We start from the raw sequence: 27444 nt of genomic DNA on the forward strand, positions 1-27444 counted from the left end.
CCTCAAGCTGCCTTTACACTAAACAGTGATGCCCACAAAACTCGGAGACTGTTTACTCATTGTGCTCCTAAACCAAGTCCATGGCACTGGAAAGGAAGAAGTCAGCTCTTCCGAAAGTCAGAAAATAAACCAGACCGGGGATTCCATGAGCAGCTAGAGCAGGTCTGAGCAGGAGCGAGACTGGCTCAGGCCAAGAGCGTCTGAGCTTTGGGGAGATGTGGACTCCTAGGATGTGGGGTCCATCCTCTGGGTTCAACCTCTTCCAGGCAAGAGACCACCAGTGAGCAGGCTGAGGGGAGGTGCGGGGCTGGCTGGACCGACCCCTGCAGCCTCTTCCAGGCAAGAGACCACCGGTGAGCAGGCCAGGGGGGAGGTGGGGGGCTGGCTGGACCAACCCCTGCAGCCTCTTCCAGGCAAGAGACCACCGGTAAGCAGGCCGGGGGGGGAGGTGAGGGGACTGGCTGGACTGACCCCTACAGAGGACTGGAGGGGCAGAGAAACGTGCGGCGCTGCGGGGTCGTCGCCGGCCTCGAACTTCCAGAGTCTTACAAAGGGTGCACGGGGGCCCTGGGTGACCTTGAACTCCCCTTTGCCTGCAGCTCCCGGAGGAGGCCCGGCCGGCCGCGGGCACCGCCTGTCTGCCCTTCTACCGCTCTTCGGCCGCCTGCGGCACCGGGGACCAAGGCGCGCTCTTTGGGAACCTGTCCACGGCCAACCCGCGGCAGCAGATGAACGGGTTGACCTCGTTCCTGGACGCGTCCACCGTGTATGGCAGCTCCCCGGCCCTAGAGAGGCAGCTGCGGAACTGGACCAGTGCCGAAGGGCTGCTCCGCGTCCACGCGCGCCTCCGGGACTCCGGCCGCGCCTACCTGCCCTTCGTGCCGCCACGCGCGCCTGCGGCCTGTGCGCCCGAGCCCGGCATCCCCGGAGAGACCCGCGGGCCCTGCTTCCTGGCCGGAGACGGCCGCGCCAGCGAGGTCCCCTCCCTGACGGCACTGCACACGCTGTGGCTGCGCGAGCACAACCGCCTGGCCGCGGCGCTCAAGGCCCTCAATGCGCACTGGAGCGCGGACGCCGTGTACCAGGAGGCGCGCAAGGTCGTGGGCGCTCTGCACCAGGTGCGCGGGGTGGTCCTGGGCGCCCTGGGTGGCTGCGGGCAAAGCGGGGGGCGCCTCGTGTGGGTGCGCAGCATCGTGGCTTCTCTCTCCCAGGTACTTGCACAGCCATCATGGGCGCCCACATGGGTGAGCTCCAGGTCGTGGGGCCCTGTGTGGGTGCGCAGTCCTGCTGGGCGCCCTGCATGGGCGTGTGGAGGGTCATCGTGAGCTCCTGTGCAGGGGCCGAAGGGTAACTCCGGAGCTGGCGGCCCTCCGGGGCCCCTCTGTCCCACCTGCTTACCCTCCAGCCGGCTGGTGATTATCCCACCAAGACCCAACAACCACAGCCCCACAACAGTGGCAGCCAGACCACCCAGGTTTCCCGGTGCGCACAGCCAAGCTACGTGCTTTACAGATTTCAACTCATTTAATAATTCCCAGAACAACCCTTGGAGGTGGGTGGACCAGGGGTGCTGGTGTTTTTGTATTTCAGAGACAGTGCAGTGAATGAAGAACCGACTCTGTGTGAGGATTCTGAACTAACAAGTTAGAGTCTATTTGAAACCTTTCTTCATTTTATGACTTTCTTAAGTATCACATGAGAGGGTCTTGAATGGAGAGTCAAGTTGGCCTTTTATTAATTGTGTGATGGAGAAAAGCACTTATGCACCTGGAAATGCGGTCCCTGACTCTAGGGGTCTCACAGGTTGTTAGGAAGAAGGATGGGCTGTTTGATATGCGAGTCACCGTGTGTGTCTGTTGCACCAGGCCCTGTGGCGGCCTGGGCATCGTGTCTGCAGTCCTAGCCGGGAGCCTGCAGGGAGGTGCGCGTCAGTCCTGTTCTAAAGGAGGCACTGGAGCCTTGTCCGAGGAGGCACAGGGGCTGTGTGTGGCACCGGCTGCCCCCGGGCACCATGCGCCCCTGCCGCTTTCTGGCCTTCACTGCACTGGGGTCCAGGCCCCAAAGGTCAGAGCAGAGGGTCTGGGAAGCCTCCATGCGCTGGGTGTTAACCCTTAGTTCCTGGGTGGCGAGGGGACCTGGAGCTTCCTGGAACAGGGGCTGGCAGCAGCAGGCCCTCACACTTCTCCGGCAAGCACGGCAGACGGGCTCACTGTCCTAACACGCATCCACACAGCAAACACAGCAGACGAGCTCACTGTCCTAACGCACATCCACACAGCAAACACGGCAGACGAGTTCACTGTCCTAACGCACACATCCACACAGGAAACACGGCAGACGGGCTCACTGTCCTAACACGCATCCACACAGCAAACACAGAAGACGAGCTCACTGTCCTAACGCACATCCACACAGCAAACACGGCAGACGAGTTCACTGTCCTAACACACACATCCACACAGTAGCGCTTGGTGGGGAGCATCAGCCGGACGGAGGAGGCTTATGTGGGTGAGAAGATCGAGTTAGAAATGAAAACAGGAACCTTGTCACTATGTGAAGTAAAAATCATCAGGCACCCACGTCGCTTTCAAGCAGCGACTCAGACACTTTCCTGCTTCCCCGTGCAAACGGGAATATAAACCCAGGAGCTGCTGAGCGGTGGAATCCAGGTCCTCGTCTCCATGAGTCTGGACTTCCGGCCACACGCGTGGGGAGGCAGGTCCCAGACGGCTGCCTTCTCCCCTCTGCTCAACCCCTGAGGCCTTCGGCGCTCCTGTCTGCTTCCTTGCTTCTGTGCCCCTTCCCTGACTGCGACCTCCACGGGCAGATGTTCATCCATTTAATTCTTGTTTCTCAGGACCCACAATTTGCCAGGTTGCTTCATAAATATATGTAGAGTTTGTGAATGAAGTAGAATCTCAAAAATAATTCTGGAAGTCCTGCCCCTTCTGTCTCCTCAGGAGCAGGATTTGGTTTGAACCTTCTTTGAGTGAGAACCTCATCCAGCCCAGGGAGCTGTGAGAAGAGCAGCTGCCTCTGATCCCTGGAGCCCGTTCACAGAGCGGGAAACGCCCAATTGTCACGCACCCTGTTGTCTTTCTTCTCCATGGAGTTCTGGGATTATTTAGAGGCGTGAATTATTACCAGGCCCAGTCATTGTAGATTAGAGACAGTTTAATTCCAAGTTACTGAGAATCCTACTGACCTAGAAATAATGACATTTGGTTGCTGCGGCTGTGGCTGCTGCTGCTCCTCCTTGTCCTCCTCCTCGTCCTCCTCCTCCTCTTCTTCTTCTCCTTCTTCTTCTTTTTTTTTGAGACAGTCTCACTCTGTCACCCAGGCTGGAGTATAGTGGTGAGACCTTGGCTCACTGCAACCACCACCTCCCAGGTTCAAGCGATTCTCCTGCCTCAGCCTCTCAAGTAGCTGAGACCACAGACATGTGCCACCACTCCCAGCTGATTTTTATATTTTTAATAGACATGGGGTTTTGCCATGTTGGCTAGGATGGTCTTGAACTCCTTTCCTCAAGTGATCCGCCTGCCTCAGGCTCCCAAAGTGCTGGGATTACAGGCCTGAGCCACTGCGCCCAGCTGCCTTTTCTTATTATTAATGAAATAATAACAACAGCAACCAATAGGAAAAGTGTTCTTCTCTGTTTCATATTTACCTTCCTCAATTCATTTTCTGTGTGTTCTGCTTTTTAAAAAACTGTGAACATTCTTTTCTTCTTGGTTTTACATTTCACTTTTGAATTTCCTTTTGTATTTTTTTCAGTTAATAGGTCCTCTTTGGTGCTTTTTGCAAAAACCTTTGATACATTAAAATAATAAGTTGTGTTTAACGTGTCGATAGAGCCACTGCTGCGACTTCTAGCCGTATTTGAAAGATCCACGGTGGCCTGGGCCTGGAAGCCTCATTTTTCTCTCCCTGGTTCTACCGACTCGTAGTTTGGTAACTTTGTAATCTGAATCTCTCTTCTTCTGAAAAACATTAGATAATGAAAAGAGATGCCAGGGCAACCTTATGAAAGAGAAATAGCATCCCCCCCTCTATCACCCCTCAAACCCCCTACACACACACACACACACACACACACACACACACACACACACACACGAGCCAGCCAGGGCCAGGCTAATGCACACATCAGCAAGAGACAGGAAAGGTCATCTCAGAGCCGGGAGTCACAGCTTTCTCCTCCATCTGTCCACACCACCTCCCTCCTCCTTCATCCGTCCAAACCATGTTTCTCCTGCTGCATCCGTCCACACCACCTCCCTCCTCCTGCATCCGTCCACACCACCTTCCTCCTGCTGCATCCGTCCACACCACGTCCCTGCTGCTGCGTCTGTCCTCACCATACCCACTCTAATTTGTCAGGGCCCAACCACAGCCGCCCCCACTCTGAGGATCTTGGCTCCTCTAATTTCTTTTGTCGAAAGCTGAGAGCTATCCCCTCCCTCAGCCCTGGGCCACAGGACTTCTGCTGTGGGCATGTTTGGGAGGGATCTGCAGGGCCGCCCTCTGTGCTGGTTCCTGGGATCCGGCATCTCTCGGGGGACTCGCACGTAGGAAGGGCTGATAAAGTTGCTCTTGCTGGCTTGAGATCCCACAGGACCCTGGATCCATAAGCCCTGCTTCCCACCAGGAGGAACTGAAGCTCTTGCTCTTCAATCCCAGAAAACCCTAGCTGCTTTAGGTGTGTCATAAGACAAGAACTCACAATCAGTTGCTCACTTTGGTGATAACTTTTGTGTTCTACAGACAAGAAAAGAATGAGAAAGGAAACCCTTCCCAGCACAGGTGTGAGGGAGGCAGAGAGGAGGTAGCCATCCTCGGGGAGTCTGGGTGTGCCATCCAGGCAGCATGGAGTTTGGGTTCCACAGGGTGAAAAGATAAAGACATCCCAAATATCTGGCGTGGATGTTTTCTATGCCCCGGCCATCAGATAGCAGACCTATTTCTGGAGCACAGCCTTGATTTCCCCAGATATCCAGGGACCCACAGAAGCTTTGCTTTGGATGTGTGTGGAGGTAGAACCAGACCCCGGAGGGACTGCAGATCTCCCTGGACATCCCCATCCCGGGCAGGCAGATCCATGTCTCGGGGCAGGGGCTGCATCCCTGGGCCACTCGGCTGCTGACCTTTGCTGTAGCTGAGTACTTTTTCAGATTGGTTGCTCTTCCAGAGCAAAGGAGCAGATGGATAAAGTCATGCTTCCAAGGCTGGAAAGAAAGAGAAAGGGCCGTTCCTGCAGTGGGTGCTGTTGCTGCCCCACCCAGGCCCCTTTATCTGCAGGGCCCCATCCCCCAGTGGCCTCCAATGTTGGCTGACAAAGTCTCCTGGTCGTTCCTCTCCAGGGGTAGCTGTGGAGGCTGTTCCCTGCCCTGCAGGGACAGCCAGGCCCCTACCTCAAGGCTGGACCAAGCCCAGGTGCGCCATGCTGCAGGGCTTCCTGCGGAGGAGCACAAGCCAGGCCTGGCTGTGTCACGTCCTTGGGGAGCTGGGTGCCTGCTCAGCCTCCTCCCTGGAGCACCCTCAGCAAGCATATGGGAGCCTCTTATTGGACTAATAGGGCATGTTTGAGAAAATGCTGAGTGATGTTCTGCGTAGAGCAGGGTAGGTGACTTTGAAAGCAGTCGAGAGTCAGAAAGTTCAGAGGAGCCTGTGCCAGGGGCTACGCGGCTGTTTCCCACCGTCGGTGACAAGGATCGCATCTCCAGGTCTCTTCGTCCTGGTCTCCCCGTGTGCTGGGGTCCTGGCTTCCCGTCACCTTCACGCCCATCATTTTCCCAAGTGTGGACCTTTCAGTCATTCCCACTGGTGAGTTGTGAAGGCAAAGAAATGGAGAGTGGCCACAAGTCAGCACCTGGTGGCTTTGGCAGAGGCTGTGGGGAACCAGGAGGCTGGGGTGAGAGCAGACGTGGAGGAGCAGCTTGAAGCAGCCTGGGAAGATGAGGCCTCTACATGGCACCGCCAGCAGAGGAAGAAGACATGGCCCACCTGGGAGGTGAGCAGGAGGGGCACCTGACAGCGACGATGCCCCGGTCTCACAGTATGGCGTCTGCCCAGGTCCAATAGTTCAGAGTAACCATTTCCCCCATGCGACCAGGTAAAGAAATACCAGAAGCATTTCCAGAAGAATTGCCATGAAAATTCCAGAGAGCTGTTTACAAGGTTCAAGTGTTTTCTTTTTCTCTTTTTGAGAAAGCATCTCCTCTATCACCTAGGCGGAAGTGCGGTGGTACAATCATAGCTCACTGCAGCCTCAACCTCCTGGGCTCAAGCAATCCTCCACCTCAGCCACCCAAGTAGCTGGGACTACAGGTGTACACCACCACACCTGGCTAATTTTTAATTTTTTAAATTTTTTTGTAGAAACAGAGTCTGACTGTGTTGCCCAGGCTGGTCTTGATCTTGGGCTCAAGCAATCCTCCCACTTTGGCCTCCCAAAGTGCTGGGATTACAGGCGCAAGCCACTGCGCCTGACTCAAGATTCAAGTTTTAAGGCCCCATTGGTCAGAACAATGGGTGCTTCTGCCCAACCTCGACGGCTCCCAGGGGAGGCTGCAGTATCTGAGCCAATCACTTACCAGGGATGTTTCAGATCAGATGAGGAGGCAGTGGGGAAGAGGAGAGACACACTGTTCAGAGCTCTGGCAAGATCAGACACTGAGGAAGTACAGTGTCTGTGAGGCTCTGATGAAGGGCGCAGGTTTCCTCTCTGTTAACAGCTAGCCGGGCACAGGTGGAGCTGCTGAACCTGAGGCTCAGGCCTCAGTTCTCTGCCTGTGCTTGCTGCATCCCCTGGCTCACAAGTCAAACTTCAGGCAGGCAAGAAGGGGAAGAGGTGTCTTCCTTAAAATAGCTTGCACTTGAATTTGAAATTGTCTCAGTCCCTGGGCTAAAAAGAGAGAGGCCTTTTCCTTTCTATTGTAGTGAGAAGAAACCAAAGAATGTTCCAGGGAACAGAAGGTGCTGCCTGAGTTCTGAATGTGGGAAGCACACGGACCTTCTCACGCGGTTAGGAGGAGCCCCTTGGACACCTGTGTGGTTCAGAAACGTTGCCACATAAATTGCACCTGAGGTGGAGAGGCTGTTTGCACGATGAAGTCGTGCAACTGCTCTCTGGGATGCTGACCCATAGCACAGTGCTTGGCACCAATGGATGAACTAGCACAGGGACGGAAACCCCACTGGGAAACATTTGGATGCTGCCTTTTCCTCCTTGTCTGTCCAGGTCTCCGAGGTGGAGCGGGACAGCGAGGGCAGGTGCACCTTCAGTGAAGGCCCAGGCCACACAAGACTCACGGCTCTCCCTGGTCTCCCTGAAGGGCCAAATTACGTGCTTAGGAAATGCATTCTGGCACATGGAAGAAACATATTACAAGTGTGTAAATAATATTGGTTATTTTTAAACAATCCACTTGCCTTCCTAAACTGGTAAGCTAAAAGAGAAGATTCATATTCTAGAATTATTCCTATTATGCTTCATTTGGATGCAGTTTATTGACCAAAATATTCCCCTTAAATACCAAAACAACTTGACACTGATTTTTCTGTCTGAAAGAAACACTGTTAAACCTGAAAGTAGAATCTTGGTACATAATTCTCCTGGGACCATGTATCAAATCGTAATTTCCAGGCCCTGTGATTGCAACTGTAATTTTCCATCGACAGAGCTCTCTGCCATACAACATGCTTTGATTTAATCCTCACAAAGGCTCTGGGAATTAGGTATTATTGTTGCTTTGTAGAAAAAGGAACTGCTCCCCACTGTCAATCATCCAGCCAGGAGTCTAGCTGCCCAGCCTGGCCCGGTGGCCATTGTTGGCTCGACAGAGGTGCTGTCTCTTGCCACTGCCAGCCCCATCACCATCCTGGGAAGGAGGCTCTCTAGTCAGCCCTATAAACGCACCTCCTGAATATCCATGAAAAAATCAGCAAGAAGGCATTTCTGGGAAGTTCAGCTGAGGCCCTTATTACAAGACGAGAAGGGTCCAGTTCCCTGGGGCTGTCAAGGAAGATGCTCTTCCACACTGCCGCTCGAGGCGACCCTCCTCTGGTATCCTGGGCCTCACTGAGATGCTTTTCCTATCTGCACAGATCATCACCCTGAGGGATTACATCCCCAGGATCCTGGGACCCGAGGCCTTCCAGCAGTACGTGGGTCCCTATGAAGGCTATGACTCCACCGCCAACCCCACTGTGTCCAACGTGTTCTCCACAGCCGCCTTCCGCTTCGGCCATGCCACGATCCACCCGCTGGTGAGGAGGCTGGACGCCAGCTTCCAGGAGCACCCCGACCTGCCCGGGCTGTGGCTGCACCAGGCTTTCTTCAGCCCATGGACATTACTCCGTGGAGGTGAGTGAGTGCGGTCCCTGCAGCTGGTCCCCATGAACTCTTCCTTCTTTTTTTAATTTTTTTAAATTATATTTTAAGTTCTAGGGTACATGTGCACAACGTGCAGGTTTGTTACGTAGGGTATACATGTGCCATGTTGGTTTGCTGTACCCATTAACTCGTAATTTACATTAGGTATTTCTCCTAATGCTATCCCTCCCCCTGACCCCCACCCCACGACAGACGGGATATGATGATCCCCGCCCTGTGTCCATGTGTTCTCATTGTTCAATTCCCACCTATGAGTGAGAACATGCGGTGTTTGGTTTTCTGTCCTTGCGATAGTTTGCTCAGAATGATGGTTTCCAGCTGCATCCATGTCCCTGAAAAGGACATGAACTCATCGTTTTTTTATGGCTGCATAGTATTCCTTGGTGTATATGTGCCACATTTTCTTAATCCAGTCTAGCACTGATGGACATTTGGGTTGGTTCCAAGTCTTTGCTATTTTAAATAGTGCTGCAATAAACATACGTGTGCATGTGTCTTTATAGCAGCATGATTTATAGTCCCTTGGGTATATGCCAAGTAATTGGATCGCTGGGTCAAATGGTATTTCTAGTTCTAGATGCTTGAGGAATCGCCACACTGTCTTCCACAATGGTTGAACTACTTTACAGTCCCACCAACAGTGTAAAAGCATTCCTTTTCTCCACATCCTCTCCAGCATCTATTGTTTTCCTGACTTTTTAATGATCGCCATTCTAACTGGTGTGAGATGGTATCTCATTGTGGTTTTGATTTGCATTTCTCTGATGGCCAGTGATGATGAACATTTTTTCATGTGTCTGTTGGCTGCATAAATGTCTTCTTTGGGAAGTGTCTGTTCATATCCTTCGCCCACTTTTTGATGGGGTTGTTTGTTTTTTCCTTGTAAATTGGTTTGCATTTTTTGTAGATTCTGGATATTAGCCCTTTGTCAGATGGGTAGATTGCAAAAATTTTCTCCCATTTTGTAGGTTGCTTGTTCACTCTGATAGTGGTTTCTATTGCTGTGCAGAAACTCTTTAATTAGATCTCATTTGTCAATTTTGGCTTTTGTTGCCATTGCTTTTGGTGTTTTAGTCATGAAGTCCTTGCCCATGCCTATGTCCTGAATGGTATTGCCTAAGTTTTCTTCTAGGGTTTTTACGGTTTTAGGTCTAACATTTAAGTCTTTAATCCATCTTGAATTAATTTTTGCATAAGGATTTTCGCATCGATGTTTATCAGGTCTCACTTCTTTCTTATGACTCATCGCAGCCGTGCAGACCTTCCGTATGGGCACACTTGCTGATCCTACACAAGGTTTTTAATATCTGTGGGGAAAATAAATGTGTTTAAAGCATTTTAAAAGGCTAAACTGGGCTCAGGCACGGTGGCTTACACCTGTAATCCCAGCACTTTGGGAGGCTGAGGCAGGCGGATCACTTGAGGTCGGGAGTTTGAGACCAGCCTGGCCAACATGGTGAAACCCCATCTCTACTAAAAATACAAAATAAACAAACAAAAAACATTAGCCGTGTGTGGTGGCAGATGCCTGTAGTCAGCTACTCAGGAGGCTGTGGCAGGAGAATCGCTTGAACCTGGGAGGCAGAGGGTGCAGGTGAGCCGAGATCTCACCATTGCATTCCAGACTGGGCAACAGAGTGAAACTCCATTTGAAAATAAAATAAAATAAAATAAAAATAAAAGGCTAAACTGTTCTATAGTTATGATCAGCACCATCATCTTTAGAATGTTAATGATGGGTTACCTTTGGAAGTTAATTATTTGGAAGAAAATGATCCTATTCCCCCAATTAGTTTTTTGGAAGGGTTATTTTTAAGCTTCCCCATTTTTTCTTTATATTCCTTTCCCAGTAGTCTGTAAGTCCTTCTGGGAGCTTCTAACCTGTCTCAAAAGTTGACCGGCTCCAGGCGTAGTGGGGAGTGGGGAGGGCAGGGGTGCTGCAGTGCGTCCGGCGATACCTGCTTAGATGAGAGCTGAGTCATGCACAGTGCACCAGAGGGGCAAGGGCCAGCCTGGCCCTCAGCAGGTGCCCGGCATTTGAAGACACCCAGGTCATCCCACACAGGACGATGCATGTCGTGATTTCTAAGTCTTCCTTTTGGGCATCCTAAGGCCAAACCGATCCTTTAAAGACTCTGGTGGCATGCAGTGGTGGGTTCACACGCCACTGAGATAGACCGACCCTGACAGGCCGTGGGGCCTGCTTTCCATGCGGGGCCTTTGGAGATGACAGGAACAGTGGTCCCCAGGCACCCTGGCCACTCCCTCAGCTAAGCTGAGTCTTCCTTTCACTGTTCTGGATGTTAGAATTCAGCAAACGCTTCTTTTTTTTGTAATCTTTCTGTTGCTGAGAAATAAAACAAAAAGCTTTAAAAACTGGTGGGCTCCTTCTCCAGGCCCCTTTCTTTCTGAGGGTCCATCCCCCATGAGCCACATTGTCAGTGCCAGCCCAGTGGTTCACCTGCCAACAAGGGCAGTGTCCTGAGGACATTCAGGAAACTCTGGAATCACACAAGCTGAATTCATGAACTTACACGAAGGTTTGCTGAGGATAAGATTGAGCTATTGGGCTGGGCGCGGTGGCTCACGCCTGTAATCCCAGCACTTTGGGAGGCCGAGGCAGGCAGATCACCAGGTCAGGAGATTGAGACCATCCTGGCTAACACGGTGAAACCCCATCTCTACTAAAAATGCAAAAAGAAATTAGCCAAGCATGGTAGCGGGCGCCTGTAGTCCCAATTACTCGGGAGGCTGAGGCAGGAGCATGGCGTGAACCCGGGAGGCAGAGCTTGCAGTGAGCTGAGATCGCCACTGCACTCCAGCCTGGGCAACAGAAAGAATGAGACTCCGTCTCAAAAAAAAAAAAAATTGAGATATTGTTGTTTCTCTAGAACTGAGCCAAGAGCTGTCCTTGCCTTGTGCATGGTATTTTCCAGGTGGTTTGGACCCACTAATACGAGGCCTTCTTGCAAGACCAGCCAAACTGCAGGTGCAGGATCAGCTGATGAACGAGGAGCTGACGGAAAGGCTCTTTGTGCTGTCCAATTCCAGCACCTTGGATCTGGCGTCCATCAACCTGCAGAGGGGCCGGGACCACGGGCTGCCAGGTCTGCCAGTTCCTTCCCTTGCACACCTCATGCAGCTGCTGCGGGATTTGCCGAGCTAGCAACCTGCTGCTAGAGAGACTGATTTAGAGGAAAACAATCACAAATCTGAGGCCTTCTAAGCAACGGCTCTTAAAGGGCTCCAGTTCATTCAGCTAAAGTGGCCACTTCCAGCTTTTCTTAGAGATAGAAATGGCACGAAGAGGGTGGTTCTGAACCTCCCAGGAACGTATGAGCTGGGACCTTGAGAAACAGCCGCTTCTAGTAGAGGGAGGAGGGAGTGCGCGGGCAGACAATGGCAGGTCTGTATCTGGTATCCCGGGAAGCTCCTGGGATGGCTAGAGTGCCCCCCTCCCCTTCTCCTCCCCACCACAAGGTCCCAGAGCCTGCAAAGATCATTCCGTCACATCAGGACTGCTGTTAACTAACTGGTCCAAGCTGGCCCCTGGCAGGAGTGGCTGCTCCTCTCAGGCCAGCAGCCCCCTGTGCTCCCCACACCCCACCCGGCTCCTGCCTTTCCCAGGCCCCACCCGGCAGCCTCCTCCCTGACCTGCCCAGTTTCCAACTCCCTGACCTCAGGCCCACCTCAGCCTTCCCTCCTCTGGGCTCCTAGGTGGTTCGGTTGTCTGGTCAACCTGCAGCACCTGTCTAGGCCCGATCCCCTGACACCTCCTATTCTGTGTGCAGCTCTGTTCTCTCCACGTACCCTGGGAGCTTGGGAGGTGCCCTCCTGTTGTGTGTGGGTGACATGTGAGATGGACAGTGCTGGCAAGTCCTGCCCTGCCCCGTCCCTGGGCCTTCCTCTGTCCCCTGGCCCTTCCCCCATCCCTGTCTTCCTCACCAGTGGCATCTGGAAGGGCTGGGATCAGCAGCCACACAGGCTGTGAATATCTGGGGACTAAATGTGAGTTGGGAGGATGCAGAAGGGGCCCCTATGTGTGTCAGGATAACGCACACTGTCCCCCTCACTCCCTGCACCCAAACACAGCTGCTTTCTTGTTGCCAGAGCTCAGGGAGCACAGCCTACACATGCCTTCACATGCCCGGCACATACCCAGCACACACCCGCACATGCCCGGCACATGCCCAGCACATACCTGCACATGCCTGCACACACCTACACATGACCAGCACATGCCCACACATGACCAGCACATGCCCAGCACATACCCAGCACACACCTGCACACGCCTGCACATACCCATCACATGCCCAGCACATGCCCAGCACACGCCTGCACATGCCCAGCACATGCCTAGCACATACCCAGCACACACCCACACATGCCCAGCACACACCCACACATGCCCAGCACACACCCACACATGCCCAGCACACACCTTGCCTCTGGCTGGGACCCCCTTTGCTGCTGGCCCTGCTCAGGCCCCACAGCTTGATCTCCTCATGTTCCCACTGCTGACTTCCCCAAGCTAACTGTGCCACAGAGTGGGGGACCCCCTCCCGGCTCTCACAACCCCCACCTTCCTCTGCTTCACTTTTCACCAACTGAAATATGGCCAAAGGCAAAAACCCATGTTCCCACTGGCCTGTGGGTCCCCCCATAGATCGTAAGCCCAGGAGGAAGGGCTGTGTTTCAGGGCTGTGATCACTAGCACCCAGAACCGTCGACTGGCACAGAACAGGCACTTAGGGAACCCTCACTGAATGAATGAATGAATGAATGAATGAATGAATGTTTGGGCAAATAAACGCTGACAAGGACAGAAGGGCCTAGCGGGAAGGGAACAGGAGTAAGACCAGCGCACAGCCCGACTTGTGTTCAGAAGACCTGGGATTGGACCTGAGGAGTTCAATTTTGGATGAATCTCTTAATTAACCTGTGGGGTTCCCAGTTCCTCCCCTGAGCGCCCAGGACAGTAGAGTCAACCTCACGTTTGAGCGTTGGGGACGCAAACACGAGAGTGCTTGGTGTGAGCACACAGGAGGAGTCACGACAGAGCAGTGTAAGAGCCGCCACGTGGGTCCCACACAGGGGGAGTCACGACACAGCAGTGTAAGAGCCGCCACGAGGGTCCCACACAGGGGGAGTCGCGACACAGCAGTGTAAGAGCCGCCACGAGGGTCCCACACAGGGGGAGTCACGACACAGCAGTGTAAGAGCCGCCACGAGGGTCCCACACAGGGGGAGTCACGACACAGCAGTGTAAGAGCCGCCACGTGGGTCCCACACAGGGGGAGTCACGACACAGCAGTGTAAGAGCCGCCACGAGGGTCCCACACAGGGGGAGTCACGACACAGCAGTGTAAGAGCTGCCACGTGGGTCCCACACAGGGGGAGTCACGACACAGCAGTGTAAGAGCCGCCACGAGGGTCCCACACAGGGGGAGTCACGACACAGCAGTGTAAGAGCCGCCACGTGGGTCCCACACAGGGGGAGTCACGACACAGCAGTGTAAGAGCCGCCACGAGGGTCCCACACAGGGGGAGTCACGACACAGCAGTGTAAGAGCCGCCACGAGGGTCCCACACAGGGGGAGTCACGACACAGCAGTGTAAGAGCTGCCACACATGGGTCCCTGCGGCCTGCAGTTCGAAGCCCACTGCATGTGTTAGCACTCTATACCCCAGCCACCGTAGAAGGCCGGACTGCGATCACTTTCTAAAAGATGGATCGAGAGACTGAAGCACAGACAGTTTAGGCAACTTCCCCAGGTCTGAATTCCAGCAACTGGAGGCATCGATGCACCAGAAAGGCCACAAACCTGGCAGAGGCTTCATTAGATCTGATCAGTTCGATCTGAGGATAAATCAGATAAAAGAGAAACGCTCATGTCTCAGCAAGCTGAGCTGTGATGATGATTTCCACTACGCCCTGAAATCTTTTGTTGTACTTTACGGGGAATATAAAATGTACAACCTTCCCCAAAACACTTTTTTGCTGCTGGGCACAGTGGCTCACGCCTGTAATCCCTGCACTTTGGGAGGCCGAGGCGGGCAGATCACGAGTTCAGGAGTTCAAGACCAGCCTGGCCAGATGGTGAAACCCTGTCTCTACTAAAAATATAAAAAATCAGCTGGGCGTGGTGGCAGACACCTGTAATCCCAGCTACTTGAGAGGCTGAGGCAGGAGAATTGCTTGAACCCAGGAGGCAGAAGTTGCAGTGAGCTGAGATCATGCCTCTGCACTCCAGCCTGGGTGACAGAGCGAGACTCAGTCAAAAAAAAAACCAAAAAAACACTTTTTTTTGCATTCCCGTTTCTGCAGTGTCTCCCACAGGCAGGGACATCTAAAGTGATGTTCTTTCTTCCCAGCTCTGCGGCCTCTGAAGCTGTGATGAGCTTCAGCCTCCATGTCTTTACCTCCTGCACAGGCCTTGCATATTTTCCCTCTAGAGTTGGAAAAAGATGCAAATGTGTTTCCTCTTAGAGCAATAAGAAAGGAAATTACCCTTCTAACTTCGTTGTTTTTTCTTTTTGAAATTAAGATTTCCATCTCTCACAGGTATTAGAAATGTTTTAATTATTTTGGACTACTTAAAACAGTTTGACAATGGTCTAAATTGACTATACAGAAACTTTCTCTCCTCATTTGAGAACTTTAATTTGCTCATTATTTTGGTTTCTCACTAGTCTGAAAATAACTGCATTCTTTTAGTAAATATTTAATGAAATAACTGCTGTGTCCCCCAAGCCCTGTGGCAAGCAATGGGCGTCTGTTTTCTATATAAACCAAGTGTCTACAGGTTACCTATTCCTGGAGCTGAGAAATTTGTGGGGTATGTTTGGGATGGTCTAGGCTACAGTAGATTGGGTGATAAAGATGAAATTTTGTTGGAGGTGCTGAGATGGAGAGACACAGAGCCTCTTGACGGGGCAAAGCACTTCCCGGTGGCTTTGATGAGAGGGCTGGGATGGCCCATCTGGAGACAGAAAACGAGAGTGGTTTCTGCAGATCACAGGGCGGCAGAGCCCACTGTGGACAGCAGGAGTCAGGCTGAGGCAGCGCAGCTTCTCACGGGGGCTCGGGGGAACCCTTGCCAGATGTGGAAGCACCAGGGCTACGGGGCCAGCCAAGGCAGGTGACTCTAGGAGCACAAGAGTCAGACACACACTTGTTCCTCCTGAGGGTGAACCAGGGAGCCACCTGCTAAGAAATGGACTCAATGGCACCTGACAGCAGTTTTCTAAAAGCTCAGGATTTTTTTTGTTTTTTGTTTTTTTGAGACGAAGTCTCACTCTTGTCACCCAGGCTGGAGAGCAATGGGGTGATCTCGGCTCACGGCAACCTCCGTCTCCCAGGTTCAAGCAATTCTCCTGCCCCAGCCTCCCGAGTAGCTGGGATAACAGGCACCCGCCATCACGCCCAGCTAATTTTTGTATTTTTAGTAGAGATGGAGTTTCACCATGTTGGCCAGGCTGGTCTTAAACTCCTGACCTCAGGCAATCCGCCCGCCTCGGCCTCCAAAAGTGCTGGGATTACAGGCATGAGCCACCGCACCTGGCCTCTAGAAGCGCAGATTTTGAATCTCACTCATGCCTTCCTCTTTCACTTTGTCCATTCTTCCAATCCCTCTTCTTCCAAGTTGTTCCCACCCCTTTGCTCCATGAGTCTGTTTACCACATGGGCATCCCCTTCCCAGACCAACTGGAGGATGCCTGGCTATTTCTCCCAGTTCTGTTTGGTCTAAACATGAGACACCAAGAGGCCCAACCTTCTGTCCCATGAAAGCCTCACTGTCCCTGGGGGGAACCAGCCCAGTGCTCACATGTTGCTGTGCGTGTGCTTGTCCAGGACTTCTGCTGGGAGCCTGTGGTGGGCAGGGCGCTGAGAGTAGAACCAGACAGTCTTAGCTAAAGCACCACACAGGGCGGGTGGATGAGTAGAGACAGTAGCAGAGGCCCTGGGCGGCGCTCTGATCAGAACCCGTGGGAGTGAGGGTCGCCCATCCTTGAGGAGGGAGCACTTCTGGAGGAGGTGACAGCTGAACCAAGAGGAGTGGATGAGGGACGAAGGCAGATGTGAGGAGTGGGGCACAGGGAGGGGCACGAGTGTCAGGCAAAGGCGCAGCCACAGAGTCAGACCATGGACGGGGGCCTGGGCAGGGAGCAGCTGAGGCGTGGGTCAGTGAGCAGGAGGAGGAGTGAGAAGAGAGGCCAGGGATTCACCAGGGCTCCCAGGAAGAAAAGATCTCCAGTCTTCAATATGGAGATGAGTGGCCAGACAGATAAAGATATTTGTGTGTGTGTGTGTGAGTGGGTGGGGGGGGGGGTGCTGGCTTCTGTGTGTGCTCCTGATGTCATTGTGGGAGGCAAACTCTGAAGAGGATGCAGAGCTGTGTCAGTTGCCCTGTAGAGGCAAGAACTAAGTGCAGGCTGGGCAATAACAGGAATGCACTTAGATGTCACGGACTCAGCATTCTTGCTGTCTCCAGCTCCTTTATGAACAAACCTGCAAAAAGAGCTCTGGCGTCCGAGCTGGAACATTCTAGCCTGGCAAACTGCCGGGCAGTGTCACAGGGTGGGACAGGACTCTGCCCGGCATCTGAGCTGGAATATCCTAGCCTGGCAAACTGCTGGGCAGTGTCACAGGGTGGGACAGGACTCTGCCCGGCATCCGAGCTGGAATATCCTAGCCTGGCAAACTGCCGGGCAGTGTCACAGGGTGGGACAGGACTCTGCCGGGCGTCGGAGCTGGAATATCCTAGCCTGGCAAACTGCCAGGCAGTGTCACAGGGTGGGACAGGACTCTGCCCTGCTGCGCTTCCAGTCTCGGGGACCATGGCATGAGTGAGATGGGCTGAACAAAAGTTCAGTTCTGTGAGAGAAACCCTGCAGCCTCTCCCCTGTGCAGGTTACAATGAGTGGAGGGAGTTCTGCGGCCTGCCTCGCCTGGAGACCCCCGCTGACCTGAGCACAGCCATCGCCAGCAGGAGCGTGGCCGACAAGATCCTGGACTTGTACAAGCATCCTGACAACATCGATGTCTGGCTGGGAGGCTTAGCTGAAAACTTCCTCCCCAGGGCTCGGACAGGGCCCCTGTTTGCCTGTCTCATTGGGAAGCAGATGAAGGCTCTGCGGGACGGTGACTGGTACGTTCCTATCCAGAGCGTCTTCCTTCACGTTCTGCACAGAGGCAGGTGGTCTGCGTTGGTTCTGAAGCCAGCCAGACCTGCATTCACATTCCGGCTCCACCATTCAACTCTTACGTAAGCCTGGTCAGGTTGTTTCTCCCACCCACAGCTTCTTTAACCTAGAACAGTGTTTTTATAACAATGAAGCAACTACGAAGCACGTAGCACTTAGAATGGGAGCTAGCACTGATTTTTCCTAGATCCAACCACACGAGCAAGCAGGCACCTAACTAAACAAATTGTGACACAATCGTGACAGCCCGGAGACTGCATCCCATCCCTCACGTCCCATGACAATGCCCGGGAAAGCGCAGAGGTGGACAGTGACTCAGGCGCAGACACAGGCCATGCCCGGTGCTCATGGATGCCTCTAGGCTGGACAGGACTTCCCGGCCCCCCAGACCCCACCTACAGATAGCAGATGGTTGCCGGTAGCAGAAAGCTGAGGTCCCGCTTTGCCTGCCTCATGCATGTCTGCTCCCTCCTCAAGTTCAACCTAGAATTTGGAGGTTTGTACTGGAGGGAGTCAGAGGCAGATCCTGTTCCCATCTGACTCTGAGTGCATGCCCCCCGTAGAAGCAGGTGCGCAGGATACCAGTGTTAGGATTTTGGAACAACACAGACAAAAGCAATAGGAAAATGTTTTCTTTTGCTTTTAAATACATCCCTACCTATCCAATTCTCTCTCTATTTTTGGTAGTCACTGTGCCGAGGTCAGATTTTTGTTGTAAAGGATCTGTGTTCTTCCCAGAGAGTGCACCTGCCACACGCTGGGGCTCCTGTCCTTTCCCCAGTGTGACTTTTATCTCTAATTTCTGAGATGCAGCCTTTCAAAGAGCTACGAACACCTGGGTAGAAATCACCAGGAGAACTTGTCTCCCTTATAGCTGTGTCTTCAGCAAACGTGCGGTTTGGAATTCTCTGGGACATGGGAAGCCACTCGCTCAGAAGGGGGAAGATTTCACCAGCTTGCCCCATACGTGTGTCTCCCATGCGTGTTTTATGCCACCTGTGGCTGAAGCGCCATCTGAAATCAGTGCAGAGGCAGCTGGCAGGTTCCTAGGGTGGTGCCCCCAATTTCTCATCCTATGTATTTATGACCACATATCTCCCCAATGCAAAAATGGGATCAATTAACTTACGTATAGTGGGGCCTCTTTTTCATGTTCTAAGAGGAATTCATCCCTGTGATGGGAAGCAGAAGAGTTTTACGTGGCAGGGGAGATGCACATGGGAGATGCATGCTTTACGGCATTCAGGCCAGGAGCTATTGGGGCTTTGGCAACTATTTTCATATTTTGAGAGGAAAGTGGGACTTCATTTCTTCACATTGCAATTTTTCTGATTAATCATGGCCTGGAGGAAGAAGCTGAAGGTAGAGAGACTGTGCAGGGCACGTTGACTTCAGAATAGGAGCACCCTCTAAAATAGCTGGATTTGCTGTCATCATTCTTGTTTTTAACACAGCAATACACCCCAGATAACAGCAATGCAGCAAAATAGATGCTCATAGTCAACAAGCAAAGTGGCTCTGAGCCCCTCTTCTGAGGCCGCTCGTTCAGACAGCCAGGTGCACGCTGTGCTGCCCCTCCACATCTCCTTCGGGTCCTCAGTACCTGCACCTGAGTGGTCCCGGGTGCTCAGGGGTCTGGGCAGACGCCACAGGGTCTCCTTCAGGTCCTCAGTGCCTGCACCTGAGTGGTCCCGGGTGCTGGGGGTCTGGGCAGACGCCACAGGGTCTCCTTCAGGTCCTCAGCGCCTGCACCTGTGTGGCCCCGGGTGCTGGGGGTCTGGGCAGACGCCGCAGGAGAGGCTGGCAGCACACAGCTGTGGGCAGCTGGTCTTGAGTGCCTGCCCTGGGGGTTCTCCATGCACTGTGACCTTACTCACTGTCTCCTTCTCTGGAGGTTTTGGTGGGAGAACAGCCACGTCTTCACGGATGCACAGAGGCGTGAGCTGGAGAAGCACTCCCTGTCTCGGGTCATCTGTGACAACACTGGCCTCACCAGGGTGCCCATGGATGCCTTCCAAGTCGGCAAATTCCCCGAAGACTTTGAGTCTTGTGACAGCATCACTGGCATGAACCTGGAGGCCTGGAGGGAAACCTTTCCTCAAGGTGAAGTTCGGTCTCCTCTCACACCACGTTACAGCACGTGCATCTCATCAAACAAAGCTTATCTTCCCCAGGAGCTGATTTTAACTTTTCACTGTTTAGAAAATAGTGTCAACGCCCTGCCTTACACCCTCAGGGCAGCTCCTGGGGCGGGGCGGGGCGGGGCGGGGCCCTTCTCTAGTGAGAAAGGAACTGGAGGCCTAGAGAAAGGGAGCCCGCGGGGCCCGATCTGGGAAGAGGCCGTGTGTGCTGCGTGGGTGCTCAGTGAGTGACCACAGCAGGGCTCCCCGGCCCTGGCACCAGCCCCTCCAGGGCACAAGCGCACCCGTGACAGGGACGTTGGTGTGTGGTTTTCTTTTCTCGTAGTTTGACTACATGTCAACCTGTCCACATTTCATAGACGACAAGTGTGGCTTCCCAGAGAGCGTGGAGAATGGGGACTTTGTGCACTGTGAGGAGTCTGGGAGGCGCGTGCTGGTGTATTCCTGCCGGCACGGGTATGAGCTCCAAGGCCGGGAGCAGCTCACTTGCACCCAGGAAGGATGGGATTTCCAGCCTCCCCTCTGCAAAGGTCAGTCCTTTCTTCAATGACAATTACAAAACATCTGAATGTTTCCGATATAAGTTAACAATGCAATGTCATTGAAAATTTCTTCGCCAAAAGGTGCTTCTGAAACTGTTATCTTCCCAGGAGCAATCTGGGGATAGAAAGCAAGGGCTCTCCCCTTGGCTGGCCATGTTCCCAGCTGGCCTTTTTCTAGGTAGTGAGGCCTCAGGACAGGCACGTGGAATCGTGACCAATGGGGTCACCGGTGAGGGAAGAGAGAGGGGAGTCCGTGAGTTCCAGGCAAAGTTGTGGTGAACTCGCAGGGGCGCTTTCTCAAAGGGAACACAGCAGCAAACGTCTCCACTCCAGGAACCCATAGAGTAAGGCTCGCCTCCACCTCCACCTCCTACAGGTGGCTGATTCCCAAGCCCATGCCTGGTCCTCCTCCAGCCACTGGGTTCCACTCCCAGCCTCCCGCATGTTTAGGTGTGGACAAGTGTGGCTTCCTGGCGGTAATTTGAGAGCAGGATGGGGAGGCACCTTTCAGGCCGCAAGGCAAGACAGCCGTGGGCCACTTCCACCTGCTCCTCCCATGTGCTGGCTTGAGCGGGTGTCAGCCCAGGGCACCTGGGAGCAGGTGTGCTGGACAACAGAGCCTCCCGGGGGGAGAGCCGTGTACTGGGGTTCCTCTGCGGGGAACAGCAGAATGAGAGTCCCCATCTGACTGTTCTGAGGCAGAGCCCTCTGGGTGCGACTCCTGAGGCTGGGGCTTCCTGTCAGAGCAGCTTGCGTCCTCCAACTACTTCAGAACTGCCCTGCCACAAAACCTGGACCGCTGGTTCTGGTCTCATGGGACAGTGGCGTCAGGGCAGGCAGGAGCAGGAATGGCTGCTGTTCTGGGAGGAAGGCTGCTCAGATGACACTCACCAGCAATCTTTAGAAGGCCAACCAGCTGCCTTCAGGGACTGCATTTTAGGAGAGGAAAGTTGGCATCAGACTCACAGTCTCCTGTGAGCTACGTGCTATGAGCTGCACTTACCTAGACCGCAGAAGAAAGAGATGGTCTCGTGCAAGAATCTGGCTGGTTTGCAAGCAGAAATACAAGCAAAGTCCACAGTTTTCAGTTTTCTCAGAGTTTTCAGAAGATGAAAGAGTCCTGGAGCCAGTGCTTTGGGAGACCCAGGTGAGAGAATCCTCTGAGGCCAGGAGTTCAAGACCAGCCTGAGAAAAATAGTGAAACCCCATCTACCAAAAAAAAAAAAAAAAAAAAAGTGGCTGGGAGGGGGATGGTGTGATAAGTTGCACAAGGTCAGTGTGCTCAATGCCAGTGAACTGTACATTTAAAAATGGCAGAGGTGGTAAAGTTTACATTATGTATAATTCAGCACAATAACAAAATTTCCATTTCAATTTTGAAAGTCCAAAATGTTTCTCCTTGAAGGGTTGCAGTGGTCAACTGCTTCCAGACCCTCAGTCATAAAGGGAGAGGCTGAGACCCTGTGTGCACCAGAGACCCACCAGGACTCAGTGCTGTGGCAGGGGTCAGGTAGGGGTGCGGCTCCCGCCAAGTCTGTGGTCTCAGGTGCCCTCCCGGGAGCCACCTTCCCATTAGAAGAGGAGAGAAGGGATGAGGAGAGGAAGAAACAAAGCTGGCCTGGGGAACGGTGCCTCGGAAATAACTTTCAAACTCACTAACGGCACAAGGAGCTGCCTGGGCATGGATAGGGCAGAGGCCTGCTACATAGGTGAGGGGGTGTCATCACTGGAAACCAGCAGCCTGGGCTGGAAACCCTCTGTTTAAACTGTTAATTGCACAATGCCAGATTTGCAGACGTGCTCCCCTGCTGCATTTTGGGATTGGTCATGAATGACAGTGTACAAGGAGATCACCCAGAGATTACAGTGCCCCAGAGAACAGCAGACCAGGATGTTTCTCCCAGAGAACTTTCCAGAAGCCTCGGTGATAGAAACACAACTACTCTGTCGGGTGATGACATCTGTGTAAACTCGTGGTTGCTGTTAACACTATTGCATGACTCCTGACCATAGGCTCTGCCACTGACACTTCAGTGACAAAAGGGTCACGAATCGCAAGGTTTTCCTGTTCCCTTGGCTTAGAGACTGCACAAACTTGAAACGGCCACTTCACTCACGATTCCTGGTTTTCCGTGTTGGCATTACAGTTAAGGAATTGATGGCAGGTGCTTCAGGGTATAGCATGTTGCGTGTTCTACGTTAACAAGCCTTCCTATGGTGCACTTCACTGTACACCTGCGTCTCTCCTTGCCCAAATACCCAGACGTTTCACGTGTCCATTTTAGCTTCATTTTAAGTATGAATGACCCCAAAGTGCTACTCACAGGCATCTTCAAGGTGCAAATAAAAGATGGGTGAGACCTTAGAGTGGATCAGGAAGGGAGACTGCTGGAGTCCTACAACCTGCCTGTGTGGAGCTGCCCCCTGTGCGCGTGCCCTCTGACCTTCCGCCTGCCCTCTGACCTTCCACCTGCCCTCTGACCTTCCGCCTGGGACGTTGCTCATCTGTCTCCTAAGTGAGGAATGCTCCTTCAGCCTCCTGTAGACCATCCTATGCCATCAAAATCACTCTTCTGTTCTTGAAATTTTTTCATTTATCTTCCTTGATTTTTAGTCCAACAATTAACAGCTGTCTGAAGTTAAGATCCATTGTAAGAAGGACTATTTCTGAACCAGTCTGGGTGCTCCCCAGGGTGCAGGGGCCTGTCTCGGCATGGTGCGTGCACAGCAGCCAGTGCTCCTGGTGGGCTCCCTGGCTGCAGCAACATCACCAAGGAGCTTATCACACCTGCGGCGTCTGGGGCCACCACAATCCCTGAGTCAGGGCTGCAGCAACAACATCACCAAGGAGCTTATTACACCTGTGGTGTCTGGGGCACCACAATCCCTGCGTCAGAATCCACACTCTTCACAAGACCCCATGAGACTGTGTATATGAAGGTCTGAGACACCCATCGGCCAACCCTAACTCATCCTGTCTTCTCTCTCTAGTTCACTAACTTGGGCCCAACTTCATGTTCTCCTGCCACAGACATTTCCGTAGCCATTTAATCTGTCTCCCAAATTGCTGAGCCTCTGTGTGCCTCCACGGTTTCAAATGTGAAATGAGGACAGGAATAAGGCATTGATTTAAATTAGTTATAAATGCACAGTACAAAGAGCGGGGTGCAGGCCTGTTGATATTAACACTGTGAGTGCTCAGGAGCCGTGTTCTGAATGCTGGGACAGCCACACCCAGAACAATTACACTACACAGTTAGCAGGGCGTCTGTTGACTTGGAAGAGTGTTGGTGACATGTCACTCAATAAGCATGTAAGCTACACAGCAATGTGTACATTGGGAATCTGTTCGGGTTTTTTTTAAAGCAGTGGGCCACAGGCACACACATCACTTTGATGAGTGTCCTCCCGAATGTGAGGGGAGCGCTAGGCTCTGCTCCAGAACCTGTTAATACTGGAGACCTCGGCAGCCTGAGATGGGGACAGGTAGGAGAGATTGCTAACCTTCATCAATACAACTCTTTTTTTTGTTTGTTTTATCATATCTGTAATTAAAATATATCTTAGAGATAAATGACAAAACTCCAAAATCTGGTACAAATGCGTGTGCACAGATATTTTTACTACAGCTGTTCCCTGCACTAGAAGTTTCAAAATCGAGAATCACAAGGGAAAAAACTCAAGTATAACAGACAGGAAACTTTACGTTTATGGTAAATTGATAAGAATATAAGCACTCAAGGAGATCCTCAGTGAAACCTCATCAACACATCTGCGGCTACAGAAAGGAAGGCTACGGGCTTAACTGAATATTTGATACAGAAAAACAAATAGTATTCGCTGCTCTCTTCTCTATTCAAATTCTACTTATTCACTCAAACTCATTCACATAAAAACTTGATATTAAGGCCGGGCGTGGTGGTTTATGCCTGTAATCCCAGCACTTTGGGAGGCCGAGGCAGGTGGATCATGAAGTCAGGAGTTCAACACCAGCCTGGCCAAGATGGTGAAACCCCGTCTCTACTAAAAATACAAAGAAGAAAAATTAGCCGGGCATGGTGGTAGGCGCCTGTAATCCCAGCTACCCAGGAGGCTGAGGCAAGAGAATTGCTTGAACCCGGGAGATGGAGGTTTCAGTGAGCCGAGATTGCACCACTGCACTCCAGCCTGGGCAACAGAGTGAGACTCCCTCTCAAAAAAAAAAAAAAAAACTGGCAAATGCATTGCAGTGAGTCTCCTCTGAGTGCCTGGATGCTGCAAATTTCAAATAGATAAAAAGCTGTGAGTCAGTGGCTTTTTCCATGAGTTATTGTCAGGAGGTTATGCAGTAAACGAATATACATAAATGCTTTGTGCATATTATGGAAAATACAGTTCGCAACCAGTACTAATTTACTTAGAGAAATGGAAACATCTGTGCACTCACTGCATGTGGAGACTGGACACCACAGCCATCTGCGCACTCACTGCGCGTGGAGATGTGTGGACACCACGGCCACTCTTCTTGAAACTCAAGGCGAAGCAGTCGGAGAGCAGAGCCTCGGCCTCCATGCAGGTCACCCTGGTATCTGGGGACACTGCGGCTGAGGCTGGTTTCCTCCTCTGTCGGGAGCGCTGCTCTTCAGACAAGGCCGATTTGTCCCCCTCCTTCCTGTCCATCCTGGGAAGGAGACCTACACAGCGCTGGCCCCTGACTCGGCCTTCTGCTTAGAAGAAACTGACCGTGGGTGGAGCGTTGTGGGCCAAACTGTGCCCCCAAAAAGCTATGCTCAAGTTCTAGCCCCGTGTACCTCTGCATGTGGCCTGATGAAGAAGCAAGGCCTTTGCAGGTGCCGTCGAGTTAAAGTGAGGCTGTCGGGTGCATCCTGCTCCAATGTGCAGTGCCCTCATAGGAAGCAGAGACAAGACACAGACGGGACCCTGTGAAGACCCAGGATGGAAATAAAGCTTCTGCCAGGCATGGGCCCCCCAGGACCCACCAGGAGCCAGGGCATGCAGGAAGGACGCCCCCCGACTCCCGAGAGCCTGCTGAAGGAGCACCACCCGGCCGACACCCTGATTTCAGACCTGTGACCTCTAGAACTCTTGGAGGATGCATTTCTGTTGCTTGGAGCCATCCACTTTGTGATGATTTTTCCCAGCAGCCACAGGGAACTCATAAGGATGAGTCTGAACTGCAGGGATGGGGTGAGGAGAGGGGGCAGAAGCTGCTCCAAGGGAACTCCCCGAGAGGGATGCAGGGATGTGTTGGCAGCTGCCATTCCCATTCTGAGGACCCCATTGCACATCCCAGGGGATGGAGAGAAAATGGGCTTGTAGCGTTCATGGGTGATGACTTTGATTTTTCACACGATCATGATGGAAACACTCCCTACCCCAGAGGCGGCTGCAGATGCCTTCACACAGCTCTGGTGCTCCACAGCTCTGCATAACGGGATGCAGGAGGGGCTGGTTCCAGGGGCAGCTTTAGCCAAGAAAGACCTTCTAGGTTTAACAGCCTTGACATGGTTACCTGTACATGAAACACTTTAATAGCTGCTGCTAGATAGAGACAATTAACAGCCGATAGTCAATAGCTCCAATCCCTTGAAATTTCTTGACCCTTTTCTTATACTTCTTTTTATTTTTTTGAGACAGAGTCTCACTCTGTCACCCAGGCTGGAGTGCAGTGCCGCAATCTCTGCTCACTGCAACCTCCGCTTCCTGAGCTCAAGTGATTCTCCTGCCTCAGCCTCCTGAGTAGCTGGGATTACAGGCACCCACCACTGCACCCAGCTCATTTTTGTATTTTTAGTGGAGATGGGATTTCACCATGTTGGCCAGGCTGGGCTCAAACTCCTGACCTCAGGTGATCTACCCACCTCAGCCTCCCAAAGTGCTGGGATTACAGGCATGAGCCACCGGACCCGACTTCTTATACTCTTATAGAATGGTTGTCATTATCAATAATGGCATTATTAAAGACCGTACTGTTTAGAAAGCCTGAGATATCCCTGACACCCTGCTAGTTGTCATAAGCATCGTCTTTGATTCCACGCCCATTTTTCACAGCTGACATAATGATACCCATTCTGTAACTGAGAAAACCAGCATGGGCCAAGCCTCCCCCGGGGTTAGGAGTGGGCAGTCCCATCCAATGCAGCCCCTCACCCTGGGGAGCAGGTGGCCAGCCGACCACCCCAGCTGGCCTTCGAGGCCTCACGGGTCTCCGGCACTGGGTCGCCTGAGCACTGCCCAGGTTCGCACATTCTCATCGTCCTGGGGTGGCCGAGTCGGGGACCAAGACCCTGTGGCCTATGTGGACCCCGGCTCCTCCACTCAGCGGTGAGACTGGGGAGGGTCCCTCCACCTCTCCCAGTGCTTTTGCTCTGTCTAGGGATGTCGTCAGCACCAGGGCCCCAGGAGTGCAGGGAGGTTGCTGCCTCCAGCCTGGCCCTCGGCGGAGGCTGCACCCAGGCCAGCTCTGTTCCCTCCAGACAGAGCAGCTCCTGGAAGAGCTCGTGTTCCCCACACTGACAGCACCTGCTCCATTTAGAGAATGCGCACTGGGCATGTAGAGAAGACCTGTGACACGCTACAGCTTCTTTTCTAAAACTGGCCAGAAAAGGAACATTATTTGAACAAAATGTACAGCAGGTTATCTGGAAACATACGCCTAGGGGATGAGATACTAGGTTGTAGGATTCTTGTGCAGGGGGAGCAGGAGCAGGAGGGGACCCCACATCCTCACTGGCGGTGGCAGGTGGCCCCAGTCCTTGCTCTCAGAGGACCTGCCGGCCAGCTGGGAGCATCTGCCTGGGCGAAGCAGACCCTGCCCCACCCTCACCCTGGCCCCTTCCTGCCCCCGTGTCCTGCACTTGGCCAAATTCCACATTCCCAGGCAGACCCTGATTTCCTCCAGGAAGTCTCCTGTGACTCGGGCCTGAGTGAGCCCCAGTGTGTGGACTCCCTGCAGGCTCAGAGCCCGTGGCCAGCGCACATCTGTCTGCTCCTCATCACCTTTTCGGATGTGCCGGGAGCAGGGGGCGGCCGGTTCCCCCTAGACCAGGTGGGATGGCAGGCAAAGGGCTGACCTCCCCAGAGAGAAGCACCTCCCAGAACGGGGGTCGCTCGCGGGAGATGGGGGTGCAGCCGCTTCCTCTCACGTGTGTGG

General features: G+C 53.0%; 1 protein-coding gene and 1 long non-coding RNA gene across 23 annotated transcripts in view, besides 3 other annotated features; one reads left to right on the plus strand and one right to left on the minus strand.

Moving 5' to 3' along the window:
- The window catches only part of TPO (thyroid peroxidase), a 169627-nt gene that overhangs the window by 102440 nt on the left and 39743 nt on the right, over positions 1-27444 (plus strand). For 15 of the 21 annotated variants that reach the window (XM_047445652.1, XM_047445655.1, XM_047445654.1 and 12 more), the window contains 6 exons: positions 600-1118; positions 8110-8368; positions 11335-11505; positions 17316-17553; positions 19503-19711; positions 20109-20279. In XM_047445652.1, coding sequence (XP_047301608.1) covers positions 600-1118; positions 8110-8368; positions 11335-11505; positions 17316-17553; positions 19503-19711; positions 20109-20279 — 1567 coding nt within the window. The remainder of the gene's footprint in view (positions 1-599; positions 1119-8109; positions 8369-11334; positions 11506-17315; positions 17554-19502; positions 19712-20108; positions 20280-27444) is intronic. The other 6 variants (XM_024453091.2, XM_024453092.2, NM_175719.4 and 3 more) reach the window with 2 other exon arrangements.
- LALTOP (lung cancer associated lncRNA targeting TOP2A) overlaps positions 8416-27444 on the minus strand; it is a 140518-nt gene continuing 121489 nt past the window's right edge. The window contains exons 6-7 of one of the 2 annotated variants that reach the window (NR_198948.1): positions 21295-21500; positions 8416-9705 (exon numbers count right to left, since the gene is read on the minus strand). This is a non-coding gene — a long non-coding RNA (lung cancer associated lncRNA targeting TOP2A). The remainder of the gene's footprint in view (positions 9706-21294; positions 21501-27444) is intronic. The other variant, NR_198949.1, reaches the window with a different exon arrangement.
- Positions 12101-12658: an enhancer, noted in NCBI's record as "H3K27ac-H3K4me1 hESC enhancer chr2:1492359-1492916 (GRCh37/hg19 assembly coordinates)". NCBI's record gives its function as "activates a minimal SCP1, AML or CMV promoter by ChIP-STARR-seq in naive H9 embryonic stem cells {active_cell/tissue: H9 hESC(naive)}" and the evidence as "EXISTENCE:reporter gene assay evidence [ECO:0000049][PMID:30033119]".
- Positions 12659-13216: an enhancer, noted in NCBI's record as "H3K27ac-H3K4me1 hESC enhancer chr2:1492917-1493474 (GRCh37/hg19 assembly coordinates)". NCBI's record gives its function as "activates a minimal SCP1, AML or CMV promoter by ChIP-STARR-seq in naive H9 embryonic stem cells {active_cell/tissue: H9 hESC(naive)}" and the evidence as "EXISTENCE:reporter gene assay evidence [ECO:0000049][PMID:30033119]".
- Positions 19501-20136: an enhancer, noted in NCBI's record as "H3K4me1 hESC enhancer chr2:1499759-1500394 (GRCh37/hg19 assembly coordinates)". NCBI's record gives its function as "activates a minimal SCP1, AML or CMV promoter by ChIP-STARR-seq in naive H9 embryonic stem cells {active_cell/tissue: H9 hESC(naive)}" and the evidence as "EXISTENCE:reporter gene assay evidence [ECO:0000049][PMID:30033119]".

This window comes from Homo sapiens, chromosome 2 (genome assembly GCF_000001405.40).
Source record: "Homo sapiens chromosome 2, GRCh38.p14 Primary Assembly".
Classification (NCBI taxonomy): Eukaryota; Metazoa; Chordata; class Mammalia; order Primates; family Hominidae; genus Homo; species Homo sapiens.